Source organism: Homo sapiens, chromosome 20 (assembly GCF_000001405.40).
Source record: "Homo sapiens chromosome 20, GRCh38.p14 Primary Assembly".
Taxonomy (NCBI): Eukaryota; Metazoa; Chordata; class Mammalia; order Primates; family Hominidae; genus Homo; species Homo sapiens.
In genome coordinates this window covers 62,950,922-62,970,217 of record NC_000020.11, presented here as the reverse complement: position 1 = coordinate 62,970,217, position 19,296 = coordinate 62,950,922, and the positions used below count along the sequence as shown (strand labels likewise).

Sequence of the window (19,296 nt, the reverse complement as noted above, 5' to 3'; positions counted from 1 at the left end):
GCCTGTAATCCCAACACTCTGGGAAGCCATGGTGACAGATCACTTGAGCCCAGGAGTTCAAGGCCAGCCTGGGCAACACAGTGAGAGCTGGGCATGGTGGTGTGCACCTGTGGTTCCAGCTGCTCGGGAGGCTGAGGTGGGAGGATCGACTGGAGTCAGGGAAGTTGAGGCTGCAGTGATCTGTGATTGTGCCACTGCATTCCAGCCTAGGTGACGGAGAAAGACCCTGTCTCCAAGAAAAAAAAAAAAGTAGGGCCGGGGCCGGGCGTGGTGGCTCATGCCTGCAATCCCACTACTTTGGGAGGCCGAGGCAGGTGGATCACCTGAGGTCGGGAGTTCGAGACCAGCCTGGCCAACATGGTGAAACCCCATCTCTACTAAAAATACAAAAATTAGCCGGGCTTGGTGGCAGCCACCTGTAATCCCAGCTACTTGGGAGGCTGAGGCAGAAGAATCGCTTGAACCCGAGAGGTGGAGGTTGCAGTGAGCCCAGATCAAGCCACTGCACTCCAGCCTGGGGGAGACAGCGAGCCTCTGTCTCCAAAAAATAAATAAAATAAAAATAAAAGGTGCTAATTGCACACTCGTGTTCACAGGTCCATCAATGGGTGAACAGATACACAAAACATGGCTTATCCACACAATATTTTATTCAGCCTTAAAAATGAGAAAAATGCTGACACTTGTGACAAAACTGATAAAACCGAAGGACACTCTGCTGAGTGAAGTAAGCCAGACGTAGGCAAACCCAGCGTGCGCCCACTGGCACTGGTCCCAGAGCAGCCACACTTACGGTCGAGACACAAAGTGGAATGGGGTTGCCGGGGCTGGGGGAGAGCAACGGGGAGCTAGCCTTTAATGAGCACAGAGCTTCGGTTTGGGAAGATGAGAAAGTTCTGAAGGCGGAGGGTGGCGGTGGCTGCACAATGCGAATGTACCTAATGCCACAGAACCGTGCACTTAAAAATGGCTAAAATGGTAAATTTTAAGTTATGTAGATTTAGTGCAAGATGAGGAGGAGAGAGACAGCAATTCATTCACAACGCACAGGCCCCACCTCTGAACTCAGCCGCAGGTGGGCTTCCTGGGCTTGGCTTCCTGGCCTCCAGACAGCAACTGCCAGGCTTCTGGAAGCCCCTCCTGCCCCAAGACCCCACAGCAGCGTCCAGCAGTCCAGCAGGACCGTCCCGAAGCCTCTGTGGGGGTGATGCTCTAGGCTGTACCCATGGTGCCACAGGGTTGGGCTGACCGAAACTGGAGAGATTGTAGGGGAACATTTGTGCTCAAGTGCAAAACTCCACTTTGTCTTTCCACAGCACAGCTGGGCTGTCTGACTCCATGGGGGCCCCACATCTTGGGAAAGCTGGGTGGACAGCTGATAGCAGGGTACATCGCTGTCATCTGTGGACACGCAGGACCCCTGGCGGCAAAGGAACCCCGAAACCCAGCCTGGCTCTGCTGGCATGCTCATTTCAACACTCCCGGCCTAGGAGTCCGTTCCTGGGATTCTCCTTTGACCTGATTCCAACGTGTCACTCGTTTCCTCATGAAATTAGTTACAGAAAGTCTTTAACACGTGTTCATTCTTAAAAAACAAAGGTGTTAAATAAAATAACAGTCTTCTTTTTGAATAGTTTAATAGTTATTATTTAAATAAGGCTTTGGCGTGCTTTTCCACATTTTTAGGTTTTTTTCTCTATGTGTACACCTTGCAAGATGTATCATTAACTCATGAAACCACCAGCTCCTCAGGCAACGAAAAGGGAGGTAGAAAGAACGCCAGAAAGGTGGGTCTGTGTGTTCTGGGGTGCGTGGGGCCCGCCCCCGAGGAAGGTGCCAACCGTCCCTGGAGAGCAGAATCACCAGGCCTGGGAAAGCCATGCGGGTTCGAGAGCCTGCGCCATGGCCATGCTGGGCAGGGCCCAAGGGGTGCCCAGGCGTCTGCCCACTGAGAACACTGTTAGTGCGGAGGGATCCACAGGAGGGGAGAGCGGCGCCAGGGTCCCGGACACAGGCAAGGGTCTCTAGCCCGCCACCCACCCACTGCCCTGGGGGTCTCTGTCAGGCTTCTAGGAGACACAGAGACTCTGAGGTCGTGTCTCGAGGGTGGCTACCTGGGGAGGCTGGGCAGAGTCTGGAGACATTTCTGGCTGTTGTCTGACTGGGAGCTGCTGGCTAGGGGTGGGTGGAGGCCAGGGATACCTTTAAGCATCCTACAGTGTGCAGGACAGCTCCCACCAAGGAGGACAGCCCGCCAGAGACACAGCAAAGTGGGCTGGGATTGGGGAGGCTGCAGCCTGGTGCCAGCCTCACATTGGCAGGCGGGCGCTGCAGGAGGCTTGCGGAGAACACGGCGACCGAGGGAGGTTTGGCGGGAACCACGCGGAACAGATCGTGGTGGGAATGAGGCTGCGCCTACTAACAATAACCCCACCCACCCTGACGGCCACACCAGCCTGTGAGGAGGACAGGGCCGAGCCCGCTGGCAGGTGGGGAAACTGAGGCCCAGAGAGCAGCGAGCCTGGTCTGGACCCAGGCCCACCCCACCCTCCCACCAGCTGTTGTGGACTCTTCTTAAGGAGCTTCAGGCTCCACAGTGGTTTGTGTTCCTCTCTGCTCGTGTGTCTGACATGGAGTGACCAAGTCCCACACACTGAGTCCCCTGTGTCCTGGGGCTGCTGGCGCCTGGGTCCTTGGAGAGGCTGTGGGGTTGGGAGCTAGAGGTCCTCATGGGTAGAGCTCAGGTCCACCCTCTGAGCCTGTCCAAACACCAGGAAGGTGCACAGCCCCAGGTTGCTGATGATGGCCACAAGGTTGAACAGGCAAGTCCAGGAGCCCGTGGTCTCCATCAAGTAGCCGCCTAGACACACACCCACGACACCTGCCCAAGAGAGGGCCAGGCGGGCTGAGTGCTCCCGGGCAGCCCAGGCCCCACACCCCACCCTGGTTCCCAAGGTAGTGCCAGGGGAAGGGCTGGGGGTCTAGCGCCTGATAGGAGCCCCCATGGTTCCCAGGGCTGAATTCAGTGTCCCAGCTGTGGGTCAGGCTCAGACTTGGAGGGTCTTGGAGGGGCAGAGATCTCACAGGCCATCCAGAAAATGGCCTGGTAACAAGTCCCCTTTGTCCCGCTGAAAGGAAAATGGGAGCCACAGGCCGGCCCAGGCGAGGCTGAGCTGAAGAAGGACCCCCATCATCCATGGCACTCAGCGGGGCCAGGAGGTGTCCCGGGGACCCTGGGCTACCAGGATGGGAACATATCTGTGAGTCAGGGCAGATGGCGACTCATGAGCCACCTGCCGTCAGCAAAGTCCAGTGGAACCTGGAAGGCAGCCCCATCCTCCTCTCCTGGGCCTGCTCTGGGGTCTGTGCCCTCCTCTGACACCCGGACCCCCTCTGAAGGGAGGCACAACCCCACCCTGCAGCACCTCGGTGGCCTCAAACCCCACAGACAGGGGAACTCCTGGGCACAGAGGCCCGCCCCTCACCTGCCAAGGCCCCGGCTGTGTTGGCCACACCTGTGAAGAGGCCAGAGCGAGAGAGAATATGGATGGTCAGCAAAAGCCCTCCGGGATCCCCCATGGCTCACCCACCCGGAGGCCCAGGGAGGGGCAAAGCTGGGGTAAGGCAAGGTCCTCACCAAACAGAAAGCCGGCGCAGGACGGGGCCAAGTCCTGGATGTTAACAGAAATGCCACTGTGGGGAGGAAAGAGGGTGGTGAGTGGCCCTGGCCACCACCGAGCTGGTGGCCCAGGGTTGTCACAGGGGAAGCGGGGAAGCAAGGTCTCGTGGAGCCACGGGAGGGGCTGGGACACGCTCAGGCCTGCTCCCTGGCCAGAGCACTGCAGCCCTGCACACCACGCCAACCCGAGCCCCAACCACCCACTGGCCAGAGCACTGCAGCCCTGCACACCACGCCAACCCGAGCCCCAACCACCCACTGGCCAGAGCACTGCAGCCCTGCACACCATGCCAACCCGAGCCCCAACCACCCACTGGCCAGAGCACTGCAGCCCTGCACACCACGCCAACCCGAGCCCCAACCACCCACTGGCCAGAGCACTGCAGCCCTGCACACCATGCCAACCCGAGCCCCAACCACCCACTGGCCAGAGCACTGCAGCCCTGCACACCACGCCAACCCGAGCCCCAACCACCCACTGGCCAGAGCACTGCAGCCCTGCACACCATGCCAACCCGAGCCCCAGCTGCCCGTCTTCATGGAGGACCCAGTGCAGGAAGCGACTCCTTAGAGTAAAGTGCTGTGGGGAAAGCATGTTCGCACAAATCACGCGCACGTGCTGCTCACTGAAGTGAATTGCTGGTTCCTAAAGAACTACTGGGTCTTCAGTGCAGTCACTGCCCAGCAGCTTGGGAAGGGGGTGAAGTGTGAGGAAGAGACTGAGAGAGGCGGACAGAGCTCCCTCTTCACATGTGCGGGCCTCGGCCGTGCGGGCAGCACGGCGCTCTGGTGGATGGAGCAGTCGGCCCTCACCTGTGGTTGAAGGTCTGGAGGCCGATGGAGGCTGATGCAAAGACCACAGACTCACAGAAGCTGGAGGTGTGGCCCAGGCACAGAGCAAAGACGCTGGAGAGGCCAAGGCCCATGCCCTGCAGGAAAGCGCCACCGTGACGGAGAGGCACCCAGCCCGCCTGCAGCAGGGCCCTCTCCTGACTCAGCTGCCCGAAAGCCCCCCTGGGCGCACCGCACAACGGTCAGGTTGGCTGCGACCACAAACTTCTCTCAGACCAGGCCCCCTAGAGGAGGTCTGGGAGGAGTCTCCGCAAGAATCAGCCCCGCTCCAAGGGAGAGGCCCTATTCGACGTGGGCAAGCTCAGGCCTGGGCCCAGAGGGGCACAGGATGCTGACCCCAGCCTTCCCCCCAACAGCTGTCTAAACAGCCCCTTCTGGGCCCCAGTGCTGGACACATGGAGAGGCCTGGCATTTGCCTGGTCCCAGATATCAGGTGACTTGGGGACACAACCCTGAGTTCCTGGGAGACCCTGAACAAAGCAGGGATATCCAGAGAGAACGACCGGAATGATTCTCCTACCTGCATGAGCTTCCGCACCGTGATGGCTCTGTAACCTACAGGGGGAGGCCAAGGAAGGGGCTCCCGTTAGCCCTTTCGTGCTGACACCCCAGAGGGGGTCCCATCCCGAATGGCTGCAGAGGGGCAGCAGGGGAGGAAGAGGCTTGGGGCTCAAGACAGCTATCCCGTGCTGCAGGCAAAAACGTGTGCACACACGCATGTGGGGTGCAGCCGCGAGGCCGCATGTGCGCCTTTGGAAGGTTCCCAAGGCGTGGGTTTGGGCAGAAACACAGAACAGCCACACAGCAGTTACAGAGGCGGAAACAGGCGAGCGGCCCCACTTCCTCTGCTGCTCCAGATTTTCTAGCTTTTCCACAACGAGTGTGTATTCCTTTTGCAATTAGGAAAAACACGAACATTCTAAGAATAGGCACACGTGTGGAGAGAGCATGTGGGCACGCGTGTGCATCCGCCTGTACGTGTCTGTGCAGCGGACACTGCACTAGGGGAAGAAACACGCAGCCCGCTCGGGGCTCATCCCAGCGTGGGTCTGGAGCACATGGAACAAAGACAGAAGCTCTTCCAAAGGTTCAAGGATGCTTGTAACCTCTGACCCCTCCAGGTGCCTTCCTGGAGGGTCAGGGGCTGCATCCAGCCCCCAGGGGTGAGCTCCACAGTCACCGTGAGACCAGACCCTCCACCACAGTCTAACCCCACCCTTTAAGGAGGAGGCCGAGCCTGGAAAGAAGTGCCCCTCTGTCCCAGCTCTCCGTGTGCTGAAGCTGCAGCCCCAGGATGGGAGCATCCTGCCCCTCGAAAGCGAGGTGAACCAGGGTGTGGCTTCCAGCCCCGGTCCCCTCCCTGGGGCTCACCCTGATTGATGAGATGATCAGAGAGAAACCCGCTGAATAGACTGGCCGGAATCGCCACCAACCAAGGAACCACGTTGAAGATCCAGCCCTGCAGGGGGGAGTTTGGCCTTAGAGGGGGCCAGGGCCGGCATCTGGCCATCTGGAAGAGGATACTCAGGCTGGACAGCGCCCCCGTGCCCACCACTGCCCAGGAAAGCTCTCCGGCAGGGCCAGCCCTGCTCCTGGGAATGTGCAGCTCTTGACCACCACCCGGCAGGGCAGCAAGACAGCCTCAGAGAAGGAACCGTGCTGACCGCAGGTGACCCCTCTGTCCACATCCCGGCTTCTGCACCGGCCTCCTCAGGCTCTGAAGTCGGGTTCTGTGGGCCAGCAGGTCACGATGAGGGCTGGGAGGGCTGCAGCCGCAGCAGGAAGGCACCGAGCGCCCGCATCATTTCCAGCCTCAAACACAGAAACCTGCCCCGAGCATGGACGGGGTCCTCTCCAGAGGAAGAGCCTGGCAGTGCCAGGACCCTCAGAGTCCAGGAGGAGCCGAGGGTTCCACCATCTGCAGGCCAAGGACCCACAGTGCCTGGTGCAGCTCAAGCCTCGTGCCTTCTGGGCGCTCCTTCACCCTGCGGGAGCCCCCGACTCACCTTGGCGTCGGGGAAGGTCTCCTCGAAGAAGGTGGGCAGCCAGGAGAGGAGGATGAAGAAGGAGCAGGCTGCAGAGAGCTGGGAGACGACGGCTGCCCTGCGGGGCCCAATGGTGGACCGTGACTCTGGTGCCGCACGAGCTGGCCGGGCCTGTGGGACCCACCCCGAGAGGCGTCCCCTGGGGGCCAGAGTCCCACTTCTCTGAGCCCTAGGCCCTGCTGGCTCAAGGGCTGTCAGGTCCGGCCAGGTTCACACCCCCATGGTCACCGGCCCTGCCGCTGCTCCAAGGGGTGGCACAGGTCCCAGCTCACCAGACAGCAGGCTTCCGGAAGAGCCGTCTCCAGGGGACTCTGTTGTGCCTGGACACCGGCCGGCTTTGGGCCAGGACACCCAAGGCCAGGATGAGATCTGAGGGAGCAACGGTTTCAAACTGATGGCTATCAGGGCGGGAGGCGCCACCCGTTGCCAAAGGATTGGGGATTTGGGGGTGGTTCCAGAGGGGTCAGCAGGCCTCGTCCATGCCTCAGGTTGCACATGGGCGCCAGCCTCCCTTGGCCTCCCCTACCAGACACCTAACAGGCAGCATCACCTTTGAGAACCGCGTTCTGAACGACCCTCCACACGGCCTCCTCCAGAGCCCCCTGGCCACCCAAAGACTCGGCTGCTCCTGCACCCTGCCTTGACCTGTGCCCAGCAGGTCTTCCTGGGTGTCTGCCTTAGCCCTAGATGGAACCTTCCAGATCGAATTGGGTGGCGGAGCCGCTGACAGCTCAGCACCCGAGCGCTTTTCCTCACTGGCGGATTCTTTGGGAGGTCAAAGCCATCGTCTCCGGGCTCCTGCTCCAGGCTGCTCAGCGGCTGCCACCAGGGGAGGAGGCACTGGGCAGCTGTGGGCGCCCGGGACTAGCCCGCCCGGCCTGCGTTACCTTTTTCACTCAGCAGGTACCTGTACACGTACCACACCCAAAGCAAGGTGAGGCCGCCGGAGAAATAGAAGATGCTCTGCCAGCCGTACCATTCCAGGAGCAGGGAGCCCACCGCCCCGGTCAGCAGCGTCCTGCAAAGACAGGGGGAGTGTGGCCAGGCCCCTCAGCGGCACCCCTCGGGTGAGGAGGGGCCTCTCAGAAACCCCACCCTGGTGCAGGCTGAGCCCCTGGAGAAGAGGGTGTTTTCATCGCCTCCAGAGGAGCAGCTCAGAAGCCACCGTCCTGGCCTGTTTTGTTAAGGACTTCGGGTACTCAGGGGAGACTCCGGGCACACAGGGCTGGGGCGAACCTGGGACCAGCCACGCATGTGTCCCAGTCGGGCGGCTGCTGTGGAACTCACATTGTTTTTCACATCTTGCTTCTAGGCCTTCCAATTGGCCTACAATTTGTCATGTGGATCCTTTTCAACTAAAAACGGCACCGAGGAGGAGACGGTGATGAGCATATACCACAGTGAAGCTCCGCACGGTTTTTGTGCTTCAAACATCATTGAGGACAAAATTCAAAAAGACTTCTGGATGCAAAAATACCATGACGGCCAAATCCAACAACCCCCATCCCGTCCCCATGACTTCATTGTCCCAAATAGCCCCTCAGAGGCTCCCTTCTGGGTGCAACCTGGCTGGCGGCCCAGCCCCCATCTGCTGCTGAGGCCCCTCCACTGGCACCAGGGGGAATAGTTAACATCATGGCAAAAGGAGGAAGAGAGAGAGCCCCAAAGCGGGGCCTGGCATCCAGATGGGGCCTCCTTCCTCCCGCGGAGCCTCTGCGGGGTGGACACAGCTCCTGGGGTAGCAAGACTTGGCCTTGGGCACCAGGGCGGGCTGGGGTAGCACTCTCCCTGCCCAGCCCAGCCCACACTTGACCCTGTCTCTGCTCCCCACCTGGGTGCAGAAAAACCGCAAGACACTCAATGAAACCGGGTTTCGGAGAAGTGAGGATTCATTCTTTAGTAGAAGTATATCCCCTCCGGTTTATGTGAAATTCACATTCCTCTGGGCAGTCTGTTTTTACTTGATGAATCTGGTCACTCTAGGCCTGCCTGGGCCTGCTCCCGGCCCCACCTACAGGGGCCGCCTCCGCCCCTCTGAACCTCAGCAACAGTAACACGAGGGCCTGAGCCCAGTGATTGGGAAGCCCCGGTCAGCTCCTGCACCAATCCACCCTGCTACAACCACCGGGAAGGCCTCCCACCCCTGGCCTGGCCTCGATCCAGGCCGCCAGCATCGCTAGAGGGTCTGGAGCTCCCCAAGGAGCGGGCGCAGGGAGGGAGGACTGAGGGGCACGGGGTTGCCGCATCGTGGATGAGGACAAGCCGCCCTCCAGCCAGCTGATAGGCCCACCCTGAGGACAAGCCGCCCTCCAGCCAGCTGATAGGCCCACCCTGAGGACAAGCCGCCCTCCAGCCAGCTGATAGGCCCACCCTGAGGACAAGCCGCCCTCCAGCCAGCTGATAGGCCCACCCTGAGGACAAGCCGCCCTCCAGCCAGCTGATAGGCCCACCCTGAGGACAAGCCGCCCTCCAGCCAGCTGATAGGCCCACCCTGAGGACAAGCCGCCCTCCAGCCAGCTGATAGGCCCACCCTGAGGACAAGCCGCCCTCCAGCCAGCTGATAGGCCCACCGTGAGGACAAGCCGCCCTCCAGCCAGCTGATAGGCCCACCCTGAGGACAAGCCGCCCTCCAGCCAGCTGATAGGCCCACCCTGGCCCAGACGCTCCTGCGCTCACAGACTCTCCTGTCGAGGGTGGGGGCCAGCGGATGGTGGGGACGGCATCTGGCATCGTTAGCACAGATGAAAGAAAATGAGATGATGTGGCCACTCCTCCAACCCATGTCCCCAAGTCCCAGCCTCATCACCTGCCAGCCACTCCAGAAAGGCAGAAATATGCACAAAGCAAGCGCGGTGCCCGGGGCTGGTACCTGCAGAGCACAGCCTCGGGCTACAGAGCCCAAAAGGCGCCTGCGGGACCCACCTCACCATGGTGGCCCTGCAAGCCCATGTGGCCCATCCCCCACGCAGACCAGGGGCCACTCGGCAAGGGGCTCACCTGGTGGCCTCTCCTGGGCCCCGTCTTAGGCCAGGACTTACCCAAACTGGGAGCCGGCGCCCACGATGCTGTAGGTGAAGGCTCGCTCACTCTCCCGCACCTTCTGCGACAGCAGGCTGGTCAGGGCAGGGAAGTAAACCCCTGCAACAAGTGGAGGGAGGGTCTCTCAGGGTCCATCCAGGGAGGCTCCTCCCGGCCTATCTGCTCAGGTTTGGGCTGTGATTCCAGAGGACGTCCACCTGTCCCTCTAGCTCACCTCCCCACCCGAGGGACCAGCAGGGCAGGGCTTTTGGTGCCACTGAGGAAACAGACTCCTTTTGGGTGAGGCTCGCTCAGGGTCGTGCCACCCGCACGGCTGAGGGAAACACCCCTGCTTCCAAGCTAGCCCTCCCACCCCGCGAACACGCACATGCACATGTGCACACTCTCACCACCGGCCTCCAGCTGTGCTCTAGAGTCCTCGCACCAACACACACACATGCGCCTGCACACGCACGTGTTCACCGGCACACTTCTTGGCAGTGCTGCATTGTGCTCACACTGATGCAGATACACGCATACGCATGAAGATGCACACCTGCGTGCACAGACACCTGCCGCATGCGTGCACAGACACATACTTCCCCCAAGAAAGCTGCCCTTCCCTGTTTTATAAACTGAGCTTCCTCCCAGGATTTCTTTTGGACCAAGTGTTCTCAGCCGCTTTAGAAGTTTGGAAACCACCTTACCACCCCATGCAGCTCCTCCACATCCAGAGGGCTCTGAGCCTGACCTGGAGGGACTCTGCGAGGGGAGGCACCGCGGAGCCACGGTGACAACAGGAGCTTGTCCCCCAAACCCACGGGCCGTGTCTACAGGGCGCTGATGCTACCCTGCAGGGGGGCATCGTCAAACAGACGGCCACACACAGGAAGCGCCTGCCTGGCCAGCGCCTGTAACTTTTAACCGCAGAGCGCTCACTCATAGGCTCACGGCTCAGAGGCAGGGCCCGTTCCCTCGCTCCCTCGAGGGAGGCTGGGGGCCGCCTGGCGGAGCTCCTGGGGCTCCCTCCAGAAGTCCGATGCCCCGCAGCAAGAGCCACAGGTCTTGGGACACCTGGCGTCTCTGCTCTGCCCGAAGACAGCGTGCACAAACACGGCAAAGCCAGCCGCAGGTGGTGCCCACCGTTACCACGCAGCCGCCATTGCTGCCCCCCAGACCCCCAGAGTAGGCTCATGGGCACAGGATGACATCTGACATTGAGACGTGCCAGACTTTGAAGGTTTCTAGAAAACAGAATGTGCCTCAGGTGCCAAGTCATCGTAGCACAACAAGCTGGGCCCCGCAGAGGAAGCGCAGCTGGAGCGGCAGCGAGCCTACGGGGTCTGGCTGCCTGCTGGGTCCCCAGAGCTGCCCACGAGGACAGCCGCCTGCCCCAGGGCCGAGGGTCTTCTCAGCGACACTTAGAGGCATTGGTCAGCCCAGTCCGAGGCAGCACCACTGTTTTCCTCACAGCTTCAGCCTTGGGACCCTCCTCCCTCACCCCGAAGACCCTCCAGTAAACAAAGATGAGGGCCCCCACCCCCCGCCAGGCCTGTCCTCCCCTCCAGGTGGTTGCCGATTCGTTCATTCCTCCCCTCCTCCTCCAGCTCCTGCAGTGGGACCTGGGCAGTGCCTGGGGAGGCGGTGATGCTGGAGGGGCTGGCTCTGGGATGGGGCCTCACAGTAAACACACAATCCTAAGTCCTCAGTTGCACTCGCTGCACCCTCTTCTGAGGGTGGGCCATGCACTGGGCCCTTGTTCTCATGTGACACCCCGTGACCATGAGAGTGGCCTCTCTCCTGGGCAGACCCCCTTCCTCTGTTATGGAGACAGTCCCAGGCAGCACCTTCCAGGCCATAACCTTGGGGAGTGAGGGTGTGGAGAGGGAGGAGAACGAGGCCTGGGAGTGAACTCCCCAAAGTCTCTGGACTTGGAGGAGAGGGAGGGCAGAGGTTCTAGGGGAGCCATGGCCAGCGCTCTGAACCTGATGCCGGCTCAGGAAGGTAGGGGGAGTCCTGAGTGGGGGGTCTGGATGGCCCAGGACACTGGGGGAGGAGTGGCCCAGGCAGGGAACTGCTGATGGGTGGGGTGGCCAGGCAGGCTGGGTTGGGGCCAGCAGGCCCCTGCAGGCTGGAGGCCTGGCTGTTTCTCCAGGGGACCCCAGCCAAGTAGGGGCCCCTCAAAGCCCCCTTGGCCCCCCCACCCACCTTGTTCTCCTGACAGTTAAGGCGCTCCAAGGCCCTAGTATCGGAGGCATCATCAGCATACGTGTGACCAAAATGCACAAAACCCAGAGTCCCACAGCAGGTCCCTTGCAGCTGGAATCCACCACTGAACTAAGGCGTTTGGTGACAAAATTCAGGGGCAGGGGCAAGTTCACTACACAGGTGCCCCCTGTGATCCTGTGTATCACTGCAGAGTGTGCACCTACAGAAGGCACACACATGGCCACACGTACACCCTCATACGGGCACACTCACGCACGTACACACGCATATGGGCACGCATACGCACATACACATGGATACAGGAACGCACACACACATACACATGCATACAGGCATGCACACGCATGCATACCACCTGCACGCACAAGTGCATGCTCACACATGTGCATGCACACATACGTACGCACACGCACAAGCACAAACATACATGCACATTGCTTGCATACACGTGTCTGCAGGGACATATGCACTTGCACACGCACACACACACAGGTGCACGCATGCACGCGGGCATGCCCATACACACACTTGCACACGCACACGCACAGGTGCACGCATGCACGCGGGCATGCCCATACACACACACTTGCACACGCACACACACACAGGTGCACGCATGCACGCGGGCATGCCATACACACACTTACACACGCACACACACACAGGTGCACGCATGCACGCGGGCATGCCCATACACACACACTTGTACACCACCTGCATGCACGCATGCACCTGCACACACATCCGTGCACACCCCCCTTGTCTCCCCACCTGGTGCCAGAGAGCGTGAGGGAGCCGCCTGAGCTCCCCTTACCTTGGAGCAAGCCCATGAGGATGCGTGAGAAGGTCATGAAGGCCAGGTGGGCACTGCTCAGGTGGGCGAGCAGTGGGGTGACGGCCGTGATGGAGCCCCAGGCAGAGGCTGACAGCAGGATGACCTTCTCACCCCCAATCCTGGAGGGAAGACAGAGGGAGGTGAGGATGTGGCTGTGCAGGACCAAGGGGCACCACCCTGACTCAGGGCAGCCCTTGAGTGGGTGCTCAGAGCTGGGCCTGGCCTGTCTGCCTCTACAGGGCCTGCTCATGACCCCAGAGCTGCCTCGTGAGGAGACCAGGTACTCCAGGGGAGCGGCCTGCCTCCTCTGCCTGCAGGGCCCTGGGGCCTTGCCAAGCCTGGCCTCTCCCCTCCCAGCTCCCATCTTCCTCTGGGGGGGTCTTCTGCCCAGATTTATCCACCAAGCTCCTTCCCCAGGAGTCGCATCCTCTGTGTCCACGAAGCTCCTTCCCCAGGAGTCGCATCCTCTGTGTCCACCAAGCTCCTTCCCCAGGAGTCGCATCCTCTGCGTGCAGCAGCACAGCCAGCCCACTCGCCCCTGGAGGCCCCAGTGGGGCGGCCCCCACCAGCCAGGAGATGGGGAAGATGGGCAGTTACCGATCCCCGAGGTGGCCGCCCACAACCTGTGTCAGGCAGTAGCCCCAGAAGAAGCTGCTGAGCACGATGCCGGCCTCCTTCTTGTTCCAGCCGAAGTCCTGGCTCATGGAGACGGTGCAGATGGGCATGCTGGAGCGGGCGCAGTACAGAAGGCATGTGCCCAGCAGCAGCGTCCCCGTCCATGCCTGGCACTCGGGCCTGTGGGACAGGAGATGGTCAGGCCCTGGGGAGGCCCCACGGCCCTGCTGCTTCGAGTTCATCACTCAGAGACCTCCCTCAGGGCTGGGGGACATGGACTGTGAATGGGGACAGCTTTGATGGAGGGCAACTTGGCAAGCATTCAAACACCTAATCGCACCTATCTGCTGACCCCTGGGAGAACACAGGCAGCCAGAAATGAGGCACAGTGGCTCCTGGGAGCAACTGAGTGGCCAGCACTCGGGCAGGTCACAGCAACGACTCATCCCCACAAAAGGTGCCTGGGCCGGGCCCTGCTTGTTCCCCTCAAAGAGAACAGGGGAGAGGGTGACCAGGAGATGGGTGGCAGAGGAGTCGGACACTGGAGAGTCTCACCCCACCCTTCCCAAAAGGTCCTGTCTGCCCCTGCGGGGAGCTGGCTGCACCCCGGGTGTGTGCTCCCAAGAACCTGCCCCAGATGAGTGAGTGGATGACGGTGTGCTGTGGACAGAGGGGCAGGTATACGGCCTTCTCGGCACTCTCTGCAAGTCTGCGCCTAGACGCTTCCCACGGGAGAAAAGACCACCAAGTCGGGCACTGACCATGCCCGAGGTCACAGAGCCAGGCCGGCCAGCTCACACTCCCAATCCTGGTGAGGGAGGCCGGGCGAGATCTCAGAGGCAAGAACAGGTCACTCCAGCAGCCCAGAGCTGCGTCCTCTGACACCTCCTGCTCTGCCAGAGGCTATCCTGGCTCCAGCCCCTCCCCACGGCAGGGCCAACCATTAACCCCTGGAGTTTGGAGAAAGTTGTGTGGGAGGAAGTGCTGTCTGTCCTGGAACTTGGCAGTGAGTGTGGTTTCGCCAGCGTCATTTGCAGCCAGGTTCCACTCTGGGGACAACTGGCTTGCCCCATATCTGGCTGCTCCCTGGGTTACCACAGAAGGACACAGTCCTCACTGCCAGGCTGCCTAACCCAGTACAGCCCTGGCCTCCACGCCCTGTCCTGGCGTGGTTGATACCCGCAGCCCTGTTGTTTACCTAGCCCCAGGCTCTCTGTAAACAGTTTTCATTGACTTAACACACGAGGCTTGCAGAAGGGACATGGGGGCCCCCACCCTTAACTTTCCACTAAAAGCCACACAGTCCAAAGGTGCCTTTAAAAAGGAGCTTTAGAGCCAGGTACGGTGGCTTATGCCTGTAATCCTAGCACTTTAGGAGGCCGAGGTGGGCAGATCACTTGAGCCCAAGAGTTCAAGAGCAGCCTGGGAAACATGGGGACATCCTCAGCTCTACAAAAAAAAACAAAACAAAACAAAAAAAAACTTTAAAAATTAGCCAGGGCCGGGCATGGTGGCTCACGCCTGTAATCCCAGCACTTGGGGAGGCTGAGGCGGGAGGATCACAAGGTCAGGAGTTCGAGACCAGCCTCGCCCACATGGTGAAACCCCATCTCTACTAAAAATGTAAAAATTAGCCAGGCGTAGTGGCGGGTGCCTGTAATCCCAGCTACTTGGGAGGCTGAGGCAGGAGAATCGCTTGAACCTGGGAGGCAGAGGTTGCAGTGAACCGAGATCAAACTACTGAACTCCAGCCTGGGCGACAGAGTGAGACTCCACCTAGCGAGACTCCATCTCAAAAAAAAAAAGAAAAAAAAACAACAATTAGCTGAGTGTGGTGGTGTGCACCTGTGGTCCCAGCTGGGAGGCTGAAGTAGGAGGATCGCTTGAGCCCAGGAGGTCGAGGTTGCAGTGAGCCGAGATTGCACCACTGCACTCTAGCCTGGGCAACAGAGAGAGACTCTGTCTTGAAAAAGAAAGGGGGGGAGGTGGGGGACCTGTGTCCAGGTGGCACCTGCCCCGCACTGCCTGGCCGCTAGCTAGAAACAGCAGAAAGCTCAGTTGCACTGATCCTCACCCCCATTGAGGCCAGCACAGGACTGAGAACACAGAGCCACTCCAGGGCCTCCTTGGAAGGAGGAAGTCAAGAACAGCCCTTCCAGGCAAGCAATCTGCCCTACGTGGCAGGCGGCAGCCACAGCCCCTTCTCTGAGCTGGGCAGGTGGTGCTGGCCAGGTGGGCACAGGGGCACCCTCCACAGCTGCCGGGGAGACAAGGATGTCAGGCTGGAGAGGATGGCCCAGACAGTCGGCTACCTGAGGCCTGACTAGGACCCCAGGCTGGGAATCCTCCATCCTGCTGGGGGCGCGGGGGACGGGGGGTGTGCCAAGAACCGGAAAGCTTTGGGCAGCTTGAACAGCTTCCTCCCACCACTCTGCACTCCCTGAGCCCAGCAGCCTGCTTCCTGTGAACTTTCTAGAGCAAACGGCCCCTGTGCAGAAGCAGCATCCACGGCTGAGCAAACAGGTGGTCACATGGCCCCTCCATTCAGAAAAGGGAACTGTGCGGGGCCGGGCCAGGCGAGCAGCAAACCGGAGAGTGTGGGTGCCGCCCTCCAGCTCTGTTCTCGCCTGGCCCAGCCTTTGTGATGTGGCTGCAGGAGGGCGGGCTAGGAAAAGGCGTGCGTGTGGCAGCCTTGACCCACAGGCCCCTCCAGAATCCTTGGCGCTACCCAATAAGGGCCTGCAAAGGAAGTTGAAGAGCTGTGGCAAGGGCTCCTTTTTAAACATCGAGCCTGGGAGGGACGTAGTGAAGGCTGCGGCAAGGGCTCCTTTTTAAACATCGAGCCTGGGAGGGACGTAGTGAAGGCTGCGGCAAGGGCTCCTTTTTAAACATCGAGCCTGGGAGGGACGTAGTGAAGGCGGAGCCACTCAAACCAGCCGCCAGTGAGGAGGCCCTGAATCCCTGGGGAGCTGGCCCTGCCCGGCAGGCCTGGATGAACGTGGGTGGGGGAAGAGGAAGAGAGCAAGGGGCAGGGCCCGCTGAGGGCAGCCCTCCCCTCTAATTGGCGCCTGACAGGGCTGTGATCTGGGCTGCCAGCTTTTCCCATGCAGCCAGCGCTCCCTTCATCTGGGTGCCAACATCCGATGGTGGCACTGCCCCTTTGGGCCTTCCTACAACTCTTCCCAGCACTTCTAGGGTCCTCAGCCCTCATACAGCTGGGAACTGGTGGGGCCAGAAGGTGCCATTACCTTGCCATGGTCAGGGTAGGTACCCTGGGGACTCAGTGCAGGCAGGAGACTGCTCTGGAACCCACAGGGCCTGAGTCTAGGCCCAGGGTCCAGCCACTTAAGGCCTCAGCCCAAGACCCAGAGCCAAGGGGTTCAGCAGTGTGGGGGCTGCTCTCAGGAGCTCCCTGGCAGAGGCCCTCCCCAGCTGACCAATGGCCCGCGGTCACCATCTCGCCCGGTTTCTGAGGCGTCACCTGCCCAGGGAGCCTCCTACAGGCAGCAGTGCTGGTGGCCAGGCGACCTGCCCAGGCCCTGCTTCTCCCCACCACCAAATGCTCCGAGAGCTGAAGCCAGCGGGGAGCTCGTCCTCAGCACACAGCTGGCACGTGGTGGCAGGACCCCCCCCAACCCCGTCCAGCTGCAGGCTCCAGCCCGTGCCCCCTACCTGGCCTCCTGACTGTCCTGGCGCCTGCTTGTCAGGGTCATGCATACACAGGGTGGTTCCACCTGGCGAGGGGTATGCCTCCTGACTGTCCAGGACAATGCCCCTGGCCTGGGGAACATAGCCCTGCCTGGAAGAGCCCCAGGAACACTGGCTGGGATAGGGCACTTGCCAGGTCCGGTCCTGGAATCTCATGGCAGGGAGGAAGGACAGGGCACTCACTTCCTTCCACCTCCCACAAGGAACACAGGGGGCCCCACAGCCAGAGGAGCCCGCCCAGCTCAGCCCTCCCCACCTAGCATCGTCCCACGTGGCAGTATCTCAGCTCCCTCCCCACGGCCCCATCTCCACCGCTCCCACCCCCCCTCCCCTCACCCCCGCCACACCTGGACCACTGGGTGTCCCCGGCCATGTCCCTGCGGGCCTCGTCTGGGGGTGGCTGCATCGGGCTTGGGGTGCTCAGACGGCGTGGGCACAGCTGTGTCCCGGGGCTGCCTCCCAGCCCAGGCTGACCCACCCGGGCAGCACCGCCCAAGTCCACGTGTCAGTCCCAGCGCGCTTCCGTCTGGTTCTCTCAGGACTTGTCGCCCCCAGACGGCCACCAGGGCGGGCAGGCGGGGCAGGGCGGGGCATACCACTCGGGTGCCCGCCCCACCCTGCTGACGTCGGTCCCTGCTGCCCCATAGGAGCGGGGCCAACGGTCGCCCTGGCTGGGTCGCCCTGACTGTCCGACGCGCCCTGGCTCAGCCCCAGCAGAGGTTAGTGTGGGGGCAGAGGGGGATTCCCAGCAGCAGGCCGGTCAGACTGGGGCTTCAGAGAAGGGCCCTGGTGGTAAGCCTGGTCCAAGAGGTGCCAGCCCATCCCTTGGACACGACACGGAGCCATGGGGCCGTCTGTCCTCTGTCTATAAAATGGGGAATGATGGCAGTCCCTGCCTTACCGATCAAATAAAATCAGGGATAAAGTCTTAACCAAGTGCAAAGAGAGTAAAAGTACAGGGTCACTGATTTTTAAAATGGATCTTTCGGGGCAGGGATGGGTCCACTCCTGAGCCCTTGGACCAAGCCTGGGAGAGCTGGACAAATCCAGCGCTGGCCCATGTCTTCTCAGCAGATGCCTGTGAAGGTTGTCATTGGCCCCTGGGTTCCTGGACAAAAGGTGTCCTGAGGACCCATCACAGGCCAGGTTCTGGGCTCGGGGGCAGGGGTGACGGGGTGGGGCCCCCACTCTGTGTGCTCCTGCTGCCATGCCAAGGATGAAGCCAGCAGGGGAAGGCCTCAACCATGCAGCCTTTCCCCAGGAGGCGGCAGGGCCTGCTCCTCAGGCGTTGCCCCCACCTCCACTAGGGCCCACCTCAGTCCATCCTCCACGCAGCAGCCACCACCCAGGGGCCGAGGGAGACACGTCTAAGGCAGGGCCTTGCACTTAGAACAGACCCACATTTACCCCCTCCCTCCCCCTAGCCCTCAGGTCTCCAACAGCCCAACCCACTGCACTGCAGGGCCTGCTCCCAGGGCCCTCTGAACAGAAAGACACGGGCACCCTGAAAAGCAAGGTCATACTTTCATCCATCCTGACGTAGGGTAGGTGAAAAGATGGTGGCAGAGAGAGGTTTATTGCCCCAAACAGCCCTAGCCCATAGCCAGGAAGTTTGGAAACTGTTGCTAAACGTATCGCTGTCAACAGCACCCTCTTTGAGGTGATTCGCTTCCATTCACTCTGTGATGGTGATTTCCTACCGAGATCTGTGATCATGCTGCAGCAGACATTTGCCATCTGGTTACCCAAAGTCCCCTTCCTCCTGGAGCTGATGTTCTGGGGCAGGTAGACAAAAATCAAAGTAGTGAAAGGGGTAGGGAAGGGGTGTTACTTCAAATAGGTTGGGCTGAGGAGGCACCCCTGGACACCTGAGTGAAGGCTGGATGAGCTGAAGAAACGGGCCATGCAGGGATGGCTGGGTGGGTGAAGGGGCCATCTCACAGGGACATTATAAAGCTGGGTGCTGGTAGTGGCCAGATGGAGGCTCTCCACGCTTCTGGTGGATTCTGAGAGCTGCCCCGCACCCAAGCATCTTTGAGGCCTAAGGTGAAAAATTATGTAGGGACAATAGACAGTCAACACCTGGGTTTTCAAGGACACAGGGTGACCTTGCGGACAGGGCAGTCACAGCCAGCACCCACTGGCCTCTGCTTCTGGAAGGCTGCGTGCCTCCCTCTTGTTGGGCCTGGCCCACCTAACTTCTTGTTTATTTCAAGTGCTGCTATAGGGAGACGATGCTAGAGATTTTCCTAAAGCAAATCCACACCTCACTACGTATGGCGCCCGTTGCTCAGCCTCTGCATCCACACCCCCCA

At 60.8% G+C, this 19,296-nt stretch overlaps 1 protein-coding gene across 4 annotated transcripts, besides 3 other annotated features; it reads right to left on the bottom strand.

The window, feature by feature from the left end:
• SLC17A9 (solute carrier family 17 member 9) lies at positions 633–17,509 on the bottom strand. 4 transcript variants are annotated; one of them, NM_001302643.2, is made up of 14 exons: positions 17,329–17,509; positions 16,946–17,007; positions 13,256–13,453; positions 12,638–12,777; positions 9,615–9,714; positions 7,464–7,594; positions 6,849–6,945; positions 6,538–6,634; positions 5,903–5,990; positions 5,052–5,086; positions 4,493–4,608; positions 3,638–3,693; positions 3,486–3,515; positions 633–2,881 (listed from the first exon to the last, which is right to left on the bottom strand). In NM_001302643.2, the coding sequence occupies exons 2-14, from the start codon at positions 16,984–16,986 to the stop codon at positions 2,718–2,720; spliced, it is 1,293 nt and encodes a 430-aa protein (NP_001289572.2). In that variant the 5' UTR covers positions 16,987–17,007; positions 17,329–17,509; the 3' UTR covers positions 633–2,717. The 4 variants fall into 4 exon arrangements, 3 of the variants coding, with proteins under 3 accessions (NP_001289572.2, NP_071365.4, XP_011527280.1); NM_022082.4 differs by lacking the exon at positions 16,946–17,007; XM_011528978.3 differs by lacking the exons at positions 16,946–17,007; positions 17,329–17,509 and having other exon boundaries at positions 13,282–13,365.
• Positions 17,270–18,099: an enhancer, noted in NCBI's record as "H3K27ac-H3K4me1 hESC enhancer chr20:61583471-61584300 (GRCh37/hg19 assembly coordinates)". NCBI's record gives its function as "activates a minimal SCP1, AML or CMV promoter by ChIP-STARR-seq in naive H9 embryonic stem cells {active_cell/tissue: H9 hESC(naive)}" and the evidence as "EXISTENCE:reporter gene assay evidence [ECO:0000049][PMID:30033119]".
• Positions 17,289–17,388: a silencer, noted in NCBI's record as "silent region_13139". NCBI's record gives its function as "represses an Ori minimal core promoter by ATAC-STARR-seq in GM12878 lymphoblastoid cells {active_cell/tissue: GM12878}" and the evidence as "EXISTENCE:reporter gene assay evidence [ECO:0000049][PMID:35858748]".
• Positions 17,399–17,718: a silencer, noted in NCBI's record as "silent region_13138". NCBI's record gives its function as "represses an Ori minimal core promoter by ATAC-STARR-seq in GM12878 lymphoblastoid cells {active_cell/tissue: GM12878}" and the evidence as "EXISTENCE:reporter gene assay evidence [ECO:0000049][PMID:35858748]".

Bases quoted from the DNA above. Each gene is read 5' to 3' on its own strand.
- SLC17A9 (NM_022082.4), bottom strand. From the start codon at position 17,387: ATGCAGCCACCCCCAGACGAGGCCCGCAGGGACATGGCCGGGGACACC. The intron at 7,595-9,614 runs GTAAGTCCTGGC...CTGTCTTTGCAG, and splicing joins GGCGCCGGCTCCCAGTTTGG to GACGCTGCTGACCGGGGCGG. The intron at 2,882-3,485 runs GTGAGGGGCGGG...TCTCTTGGGCAG, and splicing joins CACAGCCGGGGCCTTGGCAG to GTGTCGTGGGTGTGTGTCTA.